The sequence below is a fragment of the Homo sapiens genome, chromosome 3 (assembly GCF_000001405.40).
Source record: "Homo sapiens chromosome 3, GRCh38.p14 Primary Assembly".
In the NCBI taxonomy this organism is placed as follows: Eukaryota; Metazoa; Chordata; class Mammalia; order Primates; family Hominidae; genus Homo; species Homo sapiens.
In genome coordinates, this window is record NC_000003.12 from 170,765,836 (window position 1) to 170,785,711 (window position 19,876).

Sequence of the window (19,876 nt, forward strand, 5' to 3'; positions counted from 1 at the left end):
TGGAAAACATGCAAAGCAAAAACTGCCTGTATTGAACTTTTCCAATGCCCCGAATAGCTCCCTGCTGCCTGTTTACAGTTGGTCCCTTGCCTCACCCCCAGGCCCTGGCAAACACTGATCTGCATTCCATTACTATAGTTTTGCCTTTTCTAGAATCCCTTACACGTAAAGTATGATGTCTTTTGAGTCTGGCTTCTTTCATTTAGCATGACACTCTTCAGATTCATTCATTTTGGACATACTTGACGGCTATTTTTCTTTCTTTTCTTTTACATCACTATACTTATCTCTCATCTTAAATACAAAATACAATAAAACAACAAACAAACTTCCTTTGATTATACACAGCCTCCCTCCAGCCCAGCCACTCCTGTCTCCCCTTCCTAGGCAAACTTTTTAAAATAGTCATCCCTTCACTCTCTCCTCCCCTCTTTCTTCAACCCACTGCATTTTGGTTTCAGTCCCCGCCACACCTCTAAAACTACCCTTAACAAGATCACAAACAACTCCCTTTTGGCTGTATTCAATGGGCACTTCACCTTTTCCTTTTCTTACCCCTTTGGCCACACTTGTCACCATTAAGCACTCCTCCTTTAAGTCTCCTGACTCTCTTCCTCCCTCTCTGGCATCTCCTTCTCAGCCCCCCTTGCAAGGTTCCTTTCCTTTCTCATGAGTGCTCCTTGAAGGGTAGTCTAGGACTTCTGCTGTGCTCACTCTGCAGCTCTTCCCCGGACAACCTCAACTATCCTCGTGGTTTTCTCCAGCTCTGATGTCTTTCCTGAATTCCAGGCAAGTGTATAATACTATCTAATAGAATCTGTATTTGAATATGTCAAAGATACCTCAGAATCATATAGTCAAATCAAACTCATCATTTCAATATCTGCCACCCAGACAAAATTACAGTCCCTCCACCTGTGTTTCCAAGTTTAGTGAATGGTCTCAGTATCATCTCGTTTGTCCAAACTAAAAACCTAGATTTCTCTCTTTCCCTTACTCCCAATCCCCCATAGTCAGTAAATCACCTAGACTAGTCAATGCTCCCTCCAAAATCTCAGGAATCGATATACTTCTCCCCATTTCCGTTCACACTACCCCCACTCTAGCCACCATTATATCTCCCATTGACTACTTTGCCATAATCTACTTTCAACACCGAGTGATTTGCTAAGGCACACATCTGATCTTTCACTTCCTGTTTAAAATTATTTAGTACGTCCTCTCCCAAGCTCCTCAGCAAGAAAGGCCTTCCATGCCTAGGCTCCTATCACATTCCCTGGCCCCAGCCCACCACCTCAAACTTTACAGAAAATCAATATCTTTGTAAGTCAGCCACTTGGGTGAGATCATCTGACCCTCTGTCCACTGGGTCCTAAACAGCAGAAACTAGGAATATAATGAAGAGGGAGGTTCTTGGCCATGTCCCACAGGCTAGATCTTGGCAGGTGGCTGACCTCCTGTTTGCTTTCTGCTTCAGAGGAAAGGATAAGTCTCAGCCCAGAAGGCAGAAGAGCTGTGTTCAGATGGTGACATAACTTTCAAGGAAAGAAAAAGGCAAGACAATGGGAAGAGAAAGGGAACTCAGAGGCCCCATGCTGGAGGTACAGGCCTCAAGTGAATCAACAGGGCCTTCCTCACTCTCTTCTTTGTACCACCTGACAGCCCCATAACCTGAAGGACCTGATCAAAGGGCTCCTGATGAGGACAAGAATATTACTGATCTGATATTTTCTCATAATAATGCCCAGAATCTTTTTAATCAGCCAGCTTTGGTTTAGAGTAGCTATCAGAGAGCCCATGAGACAAACACCACTCCCTTCCCAGCTATCTGAATCAAAACAAGGACTTGAGATCTGAACCTGAGCTGGGACCATGGGGTTCAGTTTATCATTGAGTGTTTACTTTCCTGGATTCCTTTCTCCTTCACACTTCATACCCCAATTCCTCTTCTCTGAGCAGAATTATCTCCACTTTGTGGTGGAGGCTCAATTACTGGCAGAATCCCTGCAGAGACAGCAAGATGGTCTTTCCGGTGTTGAGTTAACCAGGAATAAACACACATTCTTGTCTTCTGCAAATCAGAGGCACCAAAACAATTGTTTTTTAAAGAATTTGGTTGCTATTTCCAAGAAAACATTTCAAAAAATTTAATTGTAGGAAAAAATGAGAATTGAATTGTACTTCCTAACACTTGCCTTATAGCTTCATACTGCTTTAATTTTAAATTACATATGAAGGGACACAAGAGGTATTATAGAGCCTATTCTGCTCTGTGGTACCTATTCCAAGACCAAACTACCTAGGACTTGAAGGAAGTCAGAGCAACAAATGGTGCTCCTGAGCAAAGGTGATTTCCTTCTGAATGAACTCAGAAGGGACTAGACAGGGCTAGGGTCATCAAGAGGACCTTAGGCATCACCTAACCCATCTCACATTTCGCATTAAGTTTCCTTACTTATGATTGGTAAGGTCAGGTGACTTGCTCATGATAATACAGTTAGGCTAATGTCAAAGCCAAGAATTAAAACCTGGTCAGACTCTGGAATAACATCGTTCCAATAATAGCACATGTGGCTCAGCAACAGTCCAGACTCTCCTTCCTCACCTCTACACACAGATAGCAGACTCATCTCATGCTGGAATTTGCAAACTGCTTTTGAATAACCAGTATGCATGATCCTATCATCCTCAGCTTACAGAGCATGGTAGTGTGGTTTCCTTCTCGTTACAGGGTGTCAGGGTGGAGGGGGGTGGCAGAGGACTTCACCACAGACCACACAGTGAGGCAGGGACTGAGACAACTCCCCAGCTCCCAGCTCCCTGATTTTTCTTTCTGTTTCTGAGTCAACTGAGCTGGTCAGCCTCCCATGCTGTAAACACCACACAGAGCAGGAAAACAATGAAGCTGCTTATTTAGAAAAGACCTACTTCCCTGCTGAGTGTCACTACATGTCTCTTTTTATGCACTTGAACAGTCTGTTCCTGCGGTTGACTGCTAGGAAGACAGACAAGAGGATGACTGTGAAATGGCCTACTTACAGGGTCTTGGTCCACATATTTATTGACAAAATAAGCCCACCAAAGTCTCAGGTGAGAGCATAAGTGAGCAACAGAGCTGAAATTGACGCCTTGCGCAAAGGTCCAAATCATTAGGACCATTTAGCCAAGTGTGCCTTTATTAGATCATGCCGTGTGACACATTCAGGAAATAAGCATTATCTCTGCCCCAGAAAAAAATACCTGCCATCTTCCTGGACAAAATGAAACCTCAAAGTTACAAGGTAGACACGAAGGAGGGAAAAATTCACCTCCCCTTACTCTTCTCCTTAGGTAGTGCTATTTATTTATTTACTTATTTTCTGTGATGGGGTCTCACTCTGTCACCCAGGCTGGAGTGCAGGGGCGCAATCTCGGCTTACTGCAACCTCCACCTCCCGGGTTCAAGTGATTCTCCTGTCTCAGCCTCCTGAGTAGCTGGGATTACAGGTATGTGCCACTACGCCCTGCTAATTTTTGTATTTTTAGTAGAGATGGGGTTTTGCCATATTGGCCAGGCTTGTCTCGAACTCCTGACCTCAAGTGATCCACCCGCCTCAGCCTCCCAAAGTGTTAGGATTATAGGCATGAGCCACTGCGCTGGGCCAGGCAGTGCTTTTTAAACTGTAGTGAGCATGTCTTCAAAATGCAGAGATTTAGGCCTCACTCCCAGAAGGAGGCAGGTCTAGGGGAGGGCAGGAGGCCTGGGCATGTGCATTTCTAACAAGCACTCTAGGACCATACTGCTCCGTCTCTACTGCTGCCACCAGTTGGCACCTAAAGGGTGCTGCTTATATTGAGGTGTCTCCCCTTCCAGATAAGGCTGGAACATTTAAGCAAGACTGTGCTAAAGGCCTTGTAATGAAAATTAAAAGTAAATAAGCACAGAATAGCTTACAACTAAATAATCTGGTTTACAAGAGGTAGTTTTCCCACCTTTAGTGTGGAGTGCACTGCAGGGAGTCTTCCCAGATGGACTCCAGGCTGTCCATGCAAGATGACATTTTTTACCACCCAGGTGGACATGCCCTCATGTATATGGAGACACCTTGAAATCCGGACCCAGCAGAGAAAAGCTTAGGAGGAGGTTAGAATTCCCTCCCTGGGCTGCCAAGCAGACCACCTTCTGATTTTCACTGTCCTGTCTGTGAAACTACTCATCTCTTTCCTCAGCAACTGATTCTAGAAAAATCTAAATTGGTCAGGGAAAAAGATACAATGCCCTAAATGCTCATGGTTTTACCTCATCCAGTACCATATCTGGATAAACCTCAATTCCAGAAACTAAAAATAGGAGGGAATTTGGGAGGGCTGGTGGTAGCCGGCGTCAGTTCCTCTCAACTCATTCCCAACTAGTCTTGGTGATTTGAGAGGCAGCAGCTTGTGAACTAGGCCAGGTTCGATACTTCAACTTAGGATGTGTTATTCAACCAGTAATTTTTGGAGCACCCGCTATGCCCTAGATCCCATGCTAGGCATTGTAAGTACCATAAAACAATGAACAACACAGACTGCCACCTCTGTCTTCCTGCCTCCCCCAAATCTGCCTCCCTCTGAAAGTGAGGCCTAAATCTCTGCATTTTGAGGACGTGCTCACTACAGTTTGAGAAACAGACTCTGCAGAGAAGACAACTAAAGCAAATCTATATTTCATTGGATGGTTAACAGGCCACATCTGGGCCCACAGAGCATGTTAAACATCGAGGCATTTCCAATAAAAATATAGATTTCTAATGTCTCTTTAAAAATAAGAAAAGATGGCAAAAGTAGGCTTGTAGTCCCAAATGGCAACACTTGCCTGGAGCTGAGACAATGACTGTCTATTTAGAAAAGGATGCACTCTACCATTTGCTACTCTCCTCTACTCTGAATTGTCTCATATAGAGTCAGTTTCACCTGTCTGATTTATCAGTCTTGCACCTGAACGTATTTGAGTTGAAGACTCTTGTGTAGAACTATATAGAAGAGGACCTAGTCTGGAGACATTAGGGATGAATGGGGATTTCCAGGCGATGAGGGGCAGGAAAGGGAGGGTGGGAATGTGAGGCAGCCGAAGCAGCAGATGGAAAGGCTCAGAGATGAGCCTCAGCACAAGGGGACAGGTGTGTTTAAGGAAGGTAAAATGTTGCTCACAGCCAGAGCTCTAAGCGGGAGGTAAGAGATGGAGCTGGAAAGGTTAGGCAAGGAATAAATCATATTTAAAATGTTGGACTTTGGCTGGATGTGGTGCCTCATGCTGTAATCCCAGCACTTTGAGAGGTCAAGGCGGACAAAGCACCTGAGATCAGGAGTTTGAGACCAACCTGGCAAACATGGCGAAACCCCATCTCTACTAAAAATCCAAAAAATTAGCCGGGCATGTTGGGGTGCACCGGTAGTCCCAGCTACTCAAGAGGCTGAGACAGGAGAATCGCTTGAACCCGGGATGCGGAGGTTGCAGTGAGCAGAGATCATACCACTGCACTCCAGTCTGGGCGACAGAGCGAAACTCCATCTCAAAAAAAGAAAAAGAAAAGCTGGACTTTATCCCAAGTTACTCAGAGCAAGACACTGAAGGGTTTCAGCTGGGATAATGACTCTCATCTGATTGGTATTGGAAGGCTACTCAGGCTGCTGTATGGAGAGTGGATTGGAGGAGGCAAGATTGACTTGAGAGCAGATATTTTAGGACATTCATGAGCAGCCTCCCTGTACAGAGGCCATTCAGGAATGCTGAAGGACTGTGCTGCATCTTTTCTTCCTGTGAGTCCCTACACCAAGTGTATAGCAGAATCCTGGACACAGAGCAGGTGCTCGAGGAAGGGTTCTGACTCAGACCTCAGGCAGAAACAATGGCAGAAACGTCTCAGTCCAGTGGTCATCTGTCTTTGCACAAAGAGGATGCTCAGGACTTGCATAGAAATGTTAAATTTTCTTCTTGATGCTATCGGAGGGGTAAATTTTAAAAAATAATTTAAAAAATGTAGCCATTCTAAAGCTAATGACCTTCTTTGCCAGCTGTTCAACTCATCTTTGATTTGAGGGAAAGCCATGTCTGTCTTAAGCATGACATTCCCGAGAGAGAGCTTCCAAGTCATCCTCAGATGTCCATCAAGTTTAAGGAAAAGGCATAAAAATACTGCAGGCTAATAAGAAGTGAAAGAGGCATACACAATGTGCAAATAAAGCAGAAAATGATACAGACATCTAGAATAAGGTAAGATTTTCTATATCTGGTAGTGGAGAGGGGAATATTTCCAAAGAAACTTTTTGTTTTTCAGCCTGCTACAACAGATTGGTCTGGAGGTGTAGATCCATTAAAGTAAAATTGATTTAGAGAGAGAAAATACTGTTCATTTCAAAACTATAGTTCTCCCAACCCCACCTCCACCAAAGTCTCAAATCTCAGCGTGGGAGAAACCCATTAGAATTCCACTTTGTAGTGCTAGAGTGGTCTGCTTAGATTTCATCTACTGGAATATTTACTTTGGATAAAATGCAAGTTCTTTGTAGCAGTCTGGGGGAATTACAATAGATGAAACAAGAAAAGAATTTTGAAGATGAGCCCAAACCCCAAGTGGGATGTTTCAGTGTTCAATTAATTGACTCTCCCACATCCACACTCCCCTTTGCTTAATCTTGGGTCATTGGTTTTTTATTCTAGGGTCTCAAAGCTCTTTTCAAGCAGATGTTTTTCTGCTCAAATTATTGCAGAGATAAAATGAGTTGCAGCTAGTCAAATTAAAACATCCACTTGCCTGTTGGGAGTGAGTGGCAAGGGTTGCAGCCCATAGAATAGAGCTCCCAGATGGCTTTGACCTGTATGCAACTGGCTAGTATCCTTCAAGAATTCCTACCCATCTAAAGGCTTACAGTGTCTGAAAGGCCATTGCCCTTGGTCATTCACACCCAGGTATTAGGAGTTCTTCCTCATTTACCACAAGAGGAAAGAAATTAGTCTGCCAGGAAGCATCTGGTGGTCTACAAACCAAGGAGTGCCCAGGTTGGTTCTGATGTTTATTCTTTTAGCTGAAGAACACTGATCATAGGCCTAATACCCCAGCACCCATCTTGTGTGCTTGAAACCAATAGAGTGAATCCTGAAAACATCAGTAAAGCTCCCAGAGGAAGCCCTACCCTAATTTTCATTCAATAAATACTTAAGGACCTTTCGCTATGTTGCAGAGGATGGCTGTTCTGGGGACCAGCAAGTCCCTGTTCACACAGAGCTTGCCTTTTAGCATGGAGAAAATAGACAATAAACAAGTAAAAACATAATAAGTAGTACTACTTATTATGCAGTGATAAGTGCTAGACAAGAAGAATAAAGGGCAAGAATAAAGACAAGGGGTCAGAGGTAGTCAGGAAAGGCCTCCCTGCCAAGCTGACCTTGAACAGAGGAAAAGGGGAGCAAGGGAGCAAGCCAGAGTCTGCTGGAAGAGCATTCTGGGGATAAGGAATGGCAAGGATGAAAGTCCTGAGAGAACAGAGAATATGACTCCTGTCATCCTATTATACAGTCTGTGGGACATAGACTCCTTCCACTGGCAAATTAGAAAATGGTTTACCTTTTGTCTTTCTTTTCTCTTCCTTCATTTTCCTTATTTATTTTCACATATTCTCTCCCCCGTTTCTTCCTTCCTTTCTCCCTGGTCCAAATCTTTGTTTACTGAATCAGCCTCTCCAACTACTTTGCTCTGGGATACGAGCATTAAAGACGATAAACCTCAAATGCTTTTGTGGCAGGACAAGTTTCCCTTTTCTGGTGACTACTGAGGATAAGAATTGGGAGGAAGGCTTTAAGGTTGAGAGAGAAACAGACATTCATTGACCACAATAAGATTTGTAGCTGTTCTAGTAGGAAATGTGTTTGTAGGGATTCTCTCCTAGGTCAGGATCTGAAGAAGCATGTCCCCACTTCCTAGTCCCTGTGGAGCAGAAGATGGCTGATGTGCTATACTAAGTGGAAAGCTGGTCATGAAATGACCTAAAAGGGCTTGGGGACTGTGTGTATGTGTGTGTGCGTGTGCATGTGTGTGTGTGTGCGTGTGTGTGTGTGTGTATGTAGTGGGGGAAAGAGGTTGGAGCAAGGAAGATAGTGCAGGTGAAACGAGCTCTGCTGACTGAGGGCTTAGCCACAGGGGGCCCCTAAGAGTCTAGGGTTAAGTTCCTGTGTCTGTGGATGGATCTGAGAACAAGATAGATGGAATAAAAAAGCCATCTCTGAACCTCCACAACCCTCCCCTACTTTACACCATGCCCCATACCAATTCCTTGTTGACTTAGTATTATATAAGTAAGAATATATCCCTTGAGCCCAAAGAATTGAATTCAGAATTTTAGAATTCTGAGTATTCGCTTGACTCACCCCACTATAATCTTTCTTGTGACTTATAGTACCACCCTTTCATTCATTGTTAAGGAAGATAATGTATGGGTTGCACCCTTTAAAAATGCTTTAGTTTACATAAGCAAGTCAACCCAGAAACTGGTACCCTTGTTTTCCCAGAATAAAGAATGATGAGAGCTTTTTGTTATTTTTCTACTCTCAGCTTTTTTCTATCTTTCTTCACCTGCAAAGTTTTTCATTTAAATCCACTTATAACTCCCTTAGCATTTGTTAGTTAAATATGCAACATCATTGTCCCTCCTTAATGCCAGCCTAAAACATAATTCTATTCATTTGAAAGAATGGCATGATGCTGAGTTTAAGGGCATCAACTGAGTTTTATTCTACATCTTTACAACCTAATTGCCTAGTCCTATTTCACCTCTCAGCCTCTTAGCCATCAGCTCACACACACACACAAATCACTGTAGAATTTTTTGGTATTCATTCAAGGCATTGAGCGATACCATGGATTATTATTAGGGACACCTGTGGTGGTACATTCATCTAGGGTCTTTCCTGCAGTGTATAAACTGATTAACACAGAGAATTATCAGGTCAAGCCTTGGGAAATCCTTTGTTAACCCTGGATACAGGGCATCCCTGTATTGCCAGATGAGATATAATTATTACATGTTGAATGTCAGGATGTTCCACCTAACTCTGGCATATTTGGATTGCTCAAAATTTCCCTTATTTGCTCTATTTCAGTACAAGACCTATCCCTTAGCTGAAATAATCCTTATCTACATGAGCATTGATTATTACCTTTCAGTCTTATCTTTTTTTTTTTTTTTTTTAAGACAAAGTCTCGCCCTGTCACCCAGGCTGGAGTGCACTGGCATGATCTCAACTCACTGCAACCTCCACCTCCCGGGTTCAAGCAATTCTCCGGGTTCAGCCTCCTGAGTAGCTGGGACTACAAGCATGAGCCACCACGCCTGGCTAATTTTTGTATATTTACTAGGGACAGGGTTTCACCATGTTGGCCAGGCTGGTCTTGAACTCCTGACCTCAGGTGATCTGCCTGCCTCAGCTTCCCAAAATGCTGGGATTACAGGCGTGAGCCACTGCGCCATGCCCAGTCTTATCTCTACTAAGTTAAATTACCACTGTTCTGGCCATCTTATTTTCTAACTATTTATGCACCTTGAATACCTCCTTCCTGGGCCCTCCACATTGAATTCAGTTTGCTGTGATGCATAGCCTACCTTATTATTATGTGCCCTAGATAACAGGATGCAGGTCAATTGATCACATAGTCAACTGATCACAGGATGCAGGCCAATTGATCACATAGTCAATAGTACCATGTGCCAAGAACCTCAGAGGCAAGTAGACATGTAGTTGGTCAATTTATTGTGCCTAACCCAAACCTCTGATTGCCAAAGTGGTTCGAAAGAATGCTTTTGTATTGGTGTGAGAGGATGTGACTGCTCCCATAGTGGGAACAGCCTCTTCCCTGGGATACATGTAAGAACTGCAGGATGGCTTTCTCTTTCAAATTGCACATCCGTTTACTACTACACATCTGCCATGGCAGACCCCACTACATCCATACCCATTGGGAATTGCTTTGTATAATGACTGATGTTATAGACAGGAATTTGTTACATATATAAAGCATCTAGGGTTCGACAAGAGGTTGGAAGTCTTGGGCTTAAGATATGGGCCCAGAATACAGATTAAGGAAACAGGTTGGTTTCACTCTCACTCCCAAGGAGTTCCAGTGGATTCCACTGAACTACTCTTTCTTGAGGCTCCACCAAATGAATTAAAGCCCATCAGGTTCAAACTAGCTAGTTGCCCAGAGGAATCCCCAGATATAAAGTTCATATGAAGATATGAAGTTCAGCTGTGTTCAGAAAAGATCTTTCAAGAACACTCTAGCCCCAGGGTTCATTGCAAATCCAATCTAACCCTCTTAGGTACAACAATAAGATCAGAGATAAGGTGTGCAACTGTTCTGGTCTGCCCAGGACTGAGGGGGTTCCTGGGATGTACGACTTTCAGTACTAAACTTGGGAAATTTCTGGACAAATCAGGATGAATTAATCTCCCTATCCAAGACTGTAATTATGTAAACGGTAAGCTTTGGTGCTGCCCTTCCATTCTCAGTGCTATAACAGCAACAGAGAGACGCATACTTGCCTATAGATATGGAGAGCCATGGTACTCATGTGTAAACCATATATATTCTGATGCATATTTCATTAAAAAAAAACTTAAGATATCTTCTGCAAATACTTGGAACTCAATCAGTGACATTCCAAAATTAGCTTTAAGTGATAAAATTTTATGTAATTATGACAACCATCTCTAAAATAAGTGATTAAGTGCTTCAATTACAAAAAGGAATGGTCTGAAAACAAATCTCTCAGGAATTATAAATATCCTCTATGATATTGGCCAAATTACAAGCTCATGATTCTTGTTTTTAGATTTTTTGCCAACAAAGGTTGCTTAGCAACAGTCAGCCATCTCTTTTCTCTCATCAGTTTTCTCTTTTTTCCTCTCCCACCTTTGCTATTGCATACTAAAGAGAAGGAAAGCCACTGCTCTGTGATGACCTCCTCTTCTCAGTTTATAAACATAAAAATGAGAGTTTCTAAGTGTAACAATTCCTAATGTTTGTACCAAGGTTTGTACAGTCTGAAGGATGTGTTCCTGAAAGAAGCGGCATCTGACAGTGCCTTAACTCATTAAAACCCATATAAGAGTAAGAGGGGTTAATGAGCCAACCACCATGGAAGGGCCATTGCTTAGTCTGGTAGCTTTGTGCACCAGAATCTTGATCTAGTTAACAGCTGGTGAAGAGGGATGGAAACTAACACTGTTGAGGACCGACTTTGTTCCATCCTTGAATTAGGTGCTAATTTAATTGGGCTCCTTGTATTGTACCTGGCTTAGCTCAAGGAGGTGTTGGGGTTTTTTGCGGGGAGGGGCCAGTAAGAAAGGAGTTAGGAAGGAGACAGAGATCATGATTCCAGGAACAGGGGCCACAGCAGGACCTGGCCTCATGGGGCCTGGAACCATATCCTGGTCATTTCCGGGGGCCTTGGCTGTGATACTGAACCTATTTATCCTCTAGTGCTCTGCCTTCACTTAACTCCACTGCTCTCTGTCGGCCCTTCTCCATGTGTAGCTTATTGAGTCTCCTTTTGCTACTTCTCCCTGCCCTGTATCTTTACCCTAATCACACATCTCAGCTTATTCAAGACTCAGAGCTACTGCCCCCACATAACTGGCTTGCTCAGGAACCCTTGTTTACCTCAGGGACTCTTCTCTGTGTTTCTCTCAGTGTTACCTCTTCCTGCAAACTTTCTGGATGATGCTAGACTTTTCAAGTTAAATGCCCAAGAGTTACTTGTTCATTCTAGATAATGTCATAGGCCAACTATAAATTAGTAATATATAGATCAGCTGCCCAACCCTGGCCTAATCAACTGGTACCATGTAAGGGAGATATTGTGGGCTAAAATGTGTCCTCCCCCCAGCCAAAAAAATCATACATTGAAATCCTAATCCCCAATACCACAGAATGTGGCCTTATTTGGAAATAGGGGCATTGCAGGTATAAATAATTAAGATGAGCCCATACTAGAGTAGTGTGGGCACCAAGTCCAATATGATTGGTGTTCTTATAAGAAGAAGAAACTAGGACACTGGCAGGCACAAAAAGAGAAAGCTATGTAAAGACACACAGCGAGGACAGCCCTCTACAAGCCAAGGAGACAGGCCTGGAACAGCTCCTTTCCTCACAGCCCTCAAAAGGAAGCAACCCTGTAAATGCCTTGATTTCCGACTTCTATCCTCCAGAACAGTAAACAATGAATTTCCGTTGTCTAAGCCACCCAGTTTGTATTACTTTATTATGGAAACCCTAGAAAACTAGTACAGATTTTGGTGTCAGGAATTGGGGAGCTGCTGTAATAAATGTCTAAAATGCTAGAAATGGCTTTGAAATTGGGTAGTGGATAGAGGTTGGAAGAGTTGTGTGGTGCGTGAAAGAAAAGGCATGGATTTCCTTGAAAAGACTTTTTTAGAAATATAGACATTAAAGGAGATTCTGGTGAGGGCTCAGAAAGGAAAGAGGAGAGCTTTGGAGAAAGCTACTATTGTCTTAGAAAATACATTTTTCACATGAACAGAATGTTGCTGGAAATATGAACATTAAAGGTGCTTGGTGAAGTCTCAGACAGAAATGACGAAATGTTGAAAACTGGAGGACTGGTGATCCTTGTTATAAAGTGGCTGATAACTTGGTTGAATTGTGCTGTGTTAGAAAGTAGAACTTGTAAGCAATGAACTTGGATATTTAGCTGAGGAAATTTCTAACAAAAGTTTCGAAGGTACTACCTGGTTTCTCCTTATTGCTTTTAACACAACATGAGAAGAAAGAAATAAATTGAAGAATAAACTGCTAAGTAAAAAGAAACCAGCACTTGATGCTTTGGCTGAGTCTCAGCCTCACCAGATAGTGTTCTCTGGAAAGAGGGCAAAGGGTGTGTCTAGAGAAGCCTTTGCTAAAGAGATTAGGCTTTTAACTCATGGATCCCATTAGCCATCTCAGCAGAAGCCACGAATAGAGATATAGTTATCTAAAAGTCTGGAAGACCTCTTGTCTGATAGCTTGGATTTCCATGAATTGCACAGAAGGCCAGTGAGGTTTCTGAGAATTTTATACCAGTACAAATACTGCCAGCCTGGACTGAAAAGGACAGTGATGAAATGAAATGAAGGAAGAACAACTTCCATGGATGCAGAGGGCTGATGGGGCGGCCCCTGCCCCCATAGGCTCAGAGGACACAGGCCCAGGGACTGGGGTCATTTCCTCTCTGGTACCAGAGAGTGGGTCACCACCCAGGGCCAAAACTAATAGGGGAGGTCACGTTGTTTTATATGTGGCACACTAGTCCCTGTGAACAGAAAATATGGGCAGGAAGTTTCCCTTAGGGTGGTAGGTTACAGAAACTTTACATATATTACATAATTTAATCTTGGGCAAAGTAGCCTTGGGCATCAGTCTTATTCTTCTTATTTTACCAACTTGGAGACTACACAATTTGCTTGAGGTCTCATGTCTGGCAGGTGAAAGAGTCAAATTTTATACCAAGATCTGATGTCAAGGTCTTTTCAGTTCACCAGAGAGGGTAATGAAGCAGAGACTTTGTAATGGCAACAAAGAGGGTAAAATTGACTAAACTCACTCAATAGAATGAAAACTAAATATACTTGACTATTACATTACTTAACCATGTGTGGATGTGTATAGAAGTTTGATACATAAAGGTAAAAGATCAAGTATGCAATAATAGCCCTTCCAGAATGGGTGTGTTTATATCCATGTATCTATATATCTATGTCTGTGTCCATATCCATACCCATGCCCATACACATACCTATTAGGTGTATGTACATTAAAAAATAATAAACAGCATAGAGTCTGATAATAACTTTCAACCCTTCAATCCTTAACTAGGAATTGTTGAAACCCTTAGCTGAGGATGCCAAGGGAATGTCTCTTTTTCCTTTACTGTAAATTTATAGATTATTTCCCTTTCAGAAGGTATTTACCACCTTCACCATCTGCATTTGAAATGGCTTCTTTCTTATAGCAGATATTTCAATACCATTTTAGAGAATTCACAAATCTCTTGGCGGCAATGATTTTTAAAGTTCATACTTTAAGTCTTCATTGCATGCTACAATTTAAGAAGATTTATTTTTTAATACACTCTGCAAAATGCCAGCCGAAGTTGCTTACTACTTGAAAGTGTCTTGTCTCTATTTAAATGGCAGAGCATTTCTCTGCACTGTCTTTTTGAGCTTTTAATTTTGATATGTTCTGGGTTGCTGTAGGTGGTGGTAGGGAGAGTTTTATAAACTTACGGCTTTTGAGCTAAGAGACAAATTCCAGGCTAATCTGCACCTTTAAAATGTCTCTCCAGCATAATAGTGCCTGGATTTTATGACATTTCCTGTTTCACCCCATTGAATATCCCTCCTGCATCCAGAAACACAGGATTTCACAGCTTATACATTTCACCATCATTATTATATAGTTTTCATTAAGATAAAAATAGCTAAAATAAAATTCCAAAAAAGTCAAGATCCAACCTCAAATACAGAAAGTTGGTCTCTGCCACTATTGCAGTCTTGCCTTTGTTGTCTTGCTTTGTTCTGTCTCATTAATAGATGTTAACTAGTTCTCTTTTGTTTTTGTCTATCTTCCAGTGCTAGGCTACAGGGAGACTTACAGATTTTAAAAAATCAACCTAAGTGTATAGTGAAGTGGCAGTTACAGTTTTTGGGTGACCAAAGGTTCACAGAGAAGTCCTTTGGAGGCCCTCTCATTTTACTGGTGGTGATCTGACAATTTCCTAGGCAAGTGACATAAGGGCCTACTGTGTTCACTTGTATATCCCCAGCGACCAGTGAAGCATTTGACACACAGTAGGTGCCAAATGAAGAGAAGAAAAATTGAAACAAGTGACAAATTTCAGAAAGCTGTCAAATATCACAAGCATAGGCTATAAACTCAAGAATTCTAATAAATTCAATTTCATGGAGTTTCTATCATAAGAAAAAAGCATATGGCACTTTTATAATTGTACATATTGTATTATCAAATATATTCCTGATAGAAGAGAGCTTCTGGTTTGACCACATGTTAATGAAAATAGATTCTTTTACTTATAACTTTATGCATCTGATACTTGGAAAAAGTAAATATGCTCTGATTTATTCAGAGGTGAGCATGTTACCCAAAGATTGAGGACAGGGTGGTGCTGGGGCAGGGGGCATCCAAGTCTTTTTTGGGGATTAGCATATGGAAGGTGGGAGAGTCCATTTTTCCTTCTGCTAAGGTTGCTAAGCTGGAATGATATGATGAGCCAGCAATGTGAGGGCAAACAAGTCCACACAGGGGTAAACAACTAAGAAGGGAAAGAGAAAGATTACAACACCATTTAAGCCCTTGAACTGAGCCATGGTTAAATGAAGCTGCCTCTCTGCCTTCTCCTGTTCTGTGAGTCAACAAACTTTCCCTTTTTTCTGTCATTTGAAGCCAATTTCAGTCATTTGAAGCCAAAAGTCCTAACAACTATACAAAATGATAGCTATTTGCATTGTCTTACTACTCTAAGTCTTAGATAACTTCACATTGCTGAGAAAAAAATAATTTAGGCTCATATGGATACGGATAGCTCATATGGATAGCTTCTTTATTGGATGTCTGGAACTTGAATATCCGCTATACCTCTGTTATCTCCTTTCTTTGCTTATTTTAATCAGAGGGCACTGTACTCACAGTAATAAGATAGTAATGGCTTACACTTGCACAGTAATTTAAAGTTTCAAAGTAATTTTACATGTATTGTCTTATCCTCACAGAATACAAGTGCTTTCATCAAAGTTTTTCAAATGAAGAAGCGAAGGTTCAGAGAGATTAAATGAATTCCCTAAGGCTATATAGCTTGCATGGGGCAGAGCTAGGATTAAAGTTTATGCCTGGTGCTTCCTAATCCAGTATCCTTTCTGTGACATACCATACCTCTCTGAACACACCTGCAGACCCAGGACCTTCCATGCCCACTAGAAGGTATTATTCAGGCCAGAAGACACACACTTTTGGGCCAGATACACTCCTGGCCAATGGCCACATCTTCTTTTGTCTTCTTTGCCTAACTTTCTGGGTTATCCATCTCTACAATTCTACTGCTATCTTCTCTTACTCCCTTGCCTAGACTCCAAACTCCCAAAACTTTTCTCATAGCCTAACTTCTAAGGACCACAACTCAATAGTGTTTGCCTCAACAGCTCGATGTCAAACCCCTATTAAATGTTTAACCACCAGGATTTTCAGACATGATTTCCACTCCCTTATTTCTGAACACTCCCTTGTCTACCATATAACATGAGTTCTTGAATCTGATATGACTTCAGTCCTTGTCATTATTGTGCTCATACTCTGCTTCTATTCTTTTCTTAGCTATTCTGCTCTGTATTGTTTATTTCTAGAGTAGAGAGAAAGAATGGCCAGACAGCCACAATTATGCCTGTTCACACTGTTGTGTGTCCTGAACAGACCAATAACGAGTTCCAAAATTGAATTTGTAATAAATAGGCTGCCAACCTAAAAAACCCCAGGACCAAACAGGTCCACAGCCAAACTCTACCAGATGTATAAAAAATGCTGGTACCATTCTTACTGAAACTGTTCCCAAAAATTGAGGAGGAAGGACTCCTCCTCAACTCATTCTATGAGTGCAGCATCATCCTGACACCAAAACGTGGCAGAGACACACACACAGAAAAACTTCAGGCCAATATCCTTGATGAACTTAGATGCAAAAATCCTCAACAAAATACTAGCAAACCAAATCCAGGGGGATATCAAAAAACTCATCCTCCATGGTCAAGTAGGCTTTATCCCTGGGATCAAGGTTGGTTTAACATACACAAGTCAATAAATGTGATTCATCACATAAACAGAACTGAAGACAAAAACCATACGATTATCTCAATAGGGGCTTTCAATAAAATTCAGCATACCTTTATGTTAAAAACCCTCAACAAACTAGGCAATGAAGGAACATACTTCGAAATAATAAGAGCCACATATGACAAACTCACAGCCGACATCATACTAAATGGGTAAAAGTTGGAAGCAACACCATTGAAAACTGGCACAGGACAAGGATGCCCTCTCTCACCACTGCTATTCAACATAGTATTTGAAGTCCTGGACAAAGAAATCAGGCAAGAGAAAGAAATAAAAGGCATCTAAATAGGAAGAGAGGAAGTCAAACTATCCCTGTTTTCAGACAACATGATTCTATATCTAGAAAATCCCACAGTCTCAGCCCAAAAGCTCCTTGATCTGATAAATAACTTCAGCAAAGTTTCAGGATGCAAAATCAATGTATAAAAATCAGTAGCATTTCTATATAGCAACAACATCCAAGCTGAGAACCAAATCAAGAATGCAATCCCATTTACAATAGCCACCAAAAGAATAAAATACCTAGGAATACAACTAACCAGGAAGGTGAAAGTTTACTATAATGAGAATTACAAAACACTGTTCAAGGAAATCAGAAGCAACACAAACAAATGGAAAAATATTCCATGCTCATGGATAGAAAGAATGAATATTTTGGACATACTGCCCAAAGCAATTTACAGATTCAGTGCTATTCCTATCAAATTCCTAATAACAGTCTTCAAAGAACTAGAAAAAAACTATTTTAAAATTCACATAGAACCAAAAAAGAGCCCAAATAGCCAAGACAATCCTAAATAAAAACAACGGAGCTGGAAGCATCACGTTACCCAACTTCAAACTATACTACAAGGCTACAGTAACCAAAACAACATGGTACTGGTACAAAAACAAACACATAGACCAATGAAACAGAATACAGAACCCAGAAATAATGACACACACTTACAAGCATGTACTCCTTGTTATGTGTATGTTTGGGATGGAATATCTATCTGAGCTTGGGGAACCTATTTTGAAGATTTTGAGATGAGGCTTTTTAGGGATGGAATATCAAGAAATGGCATAAAGTTTCAGAGATACTGTTCAATGGCAAAGAAAGACTCTAGAAAATTCCTAAATCGCAGTCTGAATACAGCAGCCTTTCTCTTTACAGCATTAGAGAATCAGGAGAAGCCCAGCATGGACTGGCAGAGGTGCCCAAAGTGGCTGCTTTGTGGGGGAACATATCACTGTCATCAGTCAAGGGATCCTCCCAATGCTATTTTCCAACTGACGGATCTCTGCAAGTATTAGCCAAATATAATGCTTTCATGAATAAAGGGTTTAGCATTGCTTTGAATCTAAAGAACAAGGTACTGTGGATTCAGCCAGGGGACATTCTGGAATAGATAGAGAGCTGAAAACAATAATCTAGCAGATATTTAGCTATTATCTCAGAAGGAACTTGGGAACTATGGCTCAGAGACCATGAGAGTAAACACTGTGAATGTTTTTTTAAAGCTTCATAGCCTCTTCATAGTTCATTTTTAACCCCCTTTTTTTCTTACAATCTCCTAAAGACAAGGATGTTATAATGAAACAAACTGTGCATTTGCAGGAGGGATAAAAAGCCAAGCATCCTGAGGGGTTTGGGAAACCCAAAGCCAGGAATATCACAGAGAAGAGTGGAGGATGGCAGCTTCGAAACTCCCAAAGAGAAGGGATATAGACATGACTCTAGGACTTGGTAATAGAAACACCTGAGGAGTTCTCCAGTGTAGGTGGCAATGTTTGTTGTCTCCTGATAACTCATACCCAATATCCTTTTCCCATACTGGGAGAATCATATTCTGTTCCATGACCTCCCAGGGATAGATATTGATTAAACTAAGCTAATCAGAGTGGTCCCATTTCCCTTGTCACTGATTAACTTACTGTTGTGTTTGTCCTGGCCAATGAGATGTTTGCGTGTGGAATGTTACTAAAGACCATCTGGGAAAGTTTTTCTTTTAGCTCTTAAAAACATGCATACAAAAAGAAATACACCTTCTTTTTTTATGGAGTGTTGCATCTTCATGTGGTCTGGTCCTGTGGTGAACATCTTAGAAACATGAAGAAAGTAAGTGTGAAGAATATGCCAGAATAGCAGAGCAGAAAAGTGTAAGGAAGCTAGGTCCCTGCTGACATTACTGATTTGACATATGTGCATGTGGAATCCCAAAACAAAAGAAAGGAACAAAAAAGTATTAGTAGAAACAATGGCATATTTTTTTTTCTAAATTTGGTAAAAGGCATAAATTTACAGATTCAAGAAGCTCAATGAATCCAAGCACGACTGTTGCAAAATATACTACATTTAAGCACATCAAAGTCAAAATGTAGGAAGTGAAGGTAAGGAGAATTATCTTGAAAGCAGCCAGAGAAAGCAACTTGTTATGTACGGAGAAACAAAGACATGAATTACCATTCACTTCTCACTGGAAACAGTGGAGGCCAGAAGACAGTAGAATGTCTTTAAAAGCATGACAGAATGGAACTGTAAACCTAGAATTTTATATTTAAAAAAATAGAAGCGGGCATGGTGGTTCACACCTGTAATCCCAGCACTTTAGAAGACCAAGGTGGGAGGGTTGCTTGAGCCCAAGAGCTCCAGACCAGCCTGGACAACATAGGAAGACCCTGTCTCTACAAAAAAATTTAAATAATTAGCCAGGAGTGCTGTAGCCCCAGCTATTCGGGAGGCTGAAGTGGGAAAATCATCTGAGCCTGAAAGGTTGAGGTCGCAGTGAGCCATGATCAAGATACCATTCCAGGCTGGGTGACAGAGTGAGACCTTGAGAAAAGAAATAAGGGGAAGAAAAGAAGAGAGAAAGAGAGAGAGAGAAAGAAAGAAAGAGAAAGAAAGAAAAGAAAGAAGAAAGAGAGAGACAACGGAAAGAAAAAGAAAGAGAGAAAGAAAGACAGAAAGAAAGACAGAAAGAAAC

General features: G+C 41.5%; 1 long non-coding RNA gene across 1 annotated transcript in view; it reads left to right on the forward strand.

The window, feature by feature from the left end:
• Positions 1 to 2,079: 2,079 nt before the first annotated feature.
• The window catches only part of LOC105374211 (uncharacterized), a 69,709-nt gene continuing 51,912 nt past the window's right edge, over positions 2,080 to 19,876 (forward strand). Inside the window, exons 1-2 of the long non-coding RNA XR_924701.2 lie at positions 2,080 to 3,090; positions 6,034 to 6,232. This is a non-coding gene — a long non-coding RNA (uncharacterized LOC105374211). The remainder of the gene's footprint in view (positions 3,091 to 6,033; positions 6,233 to 19,876) is intronic.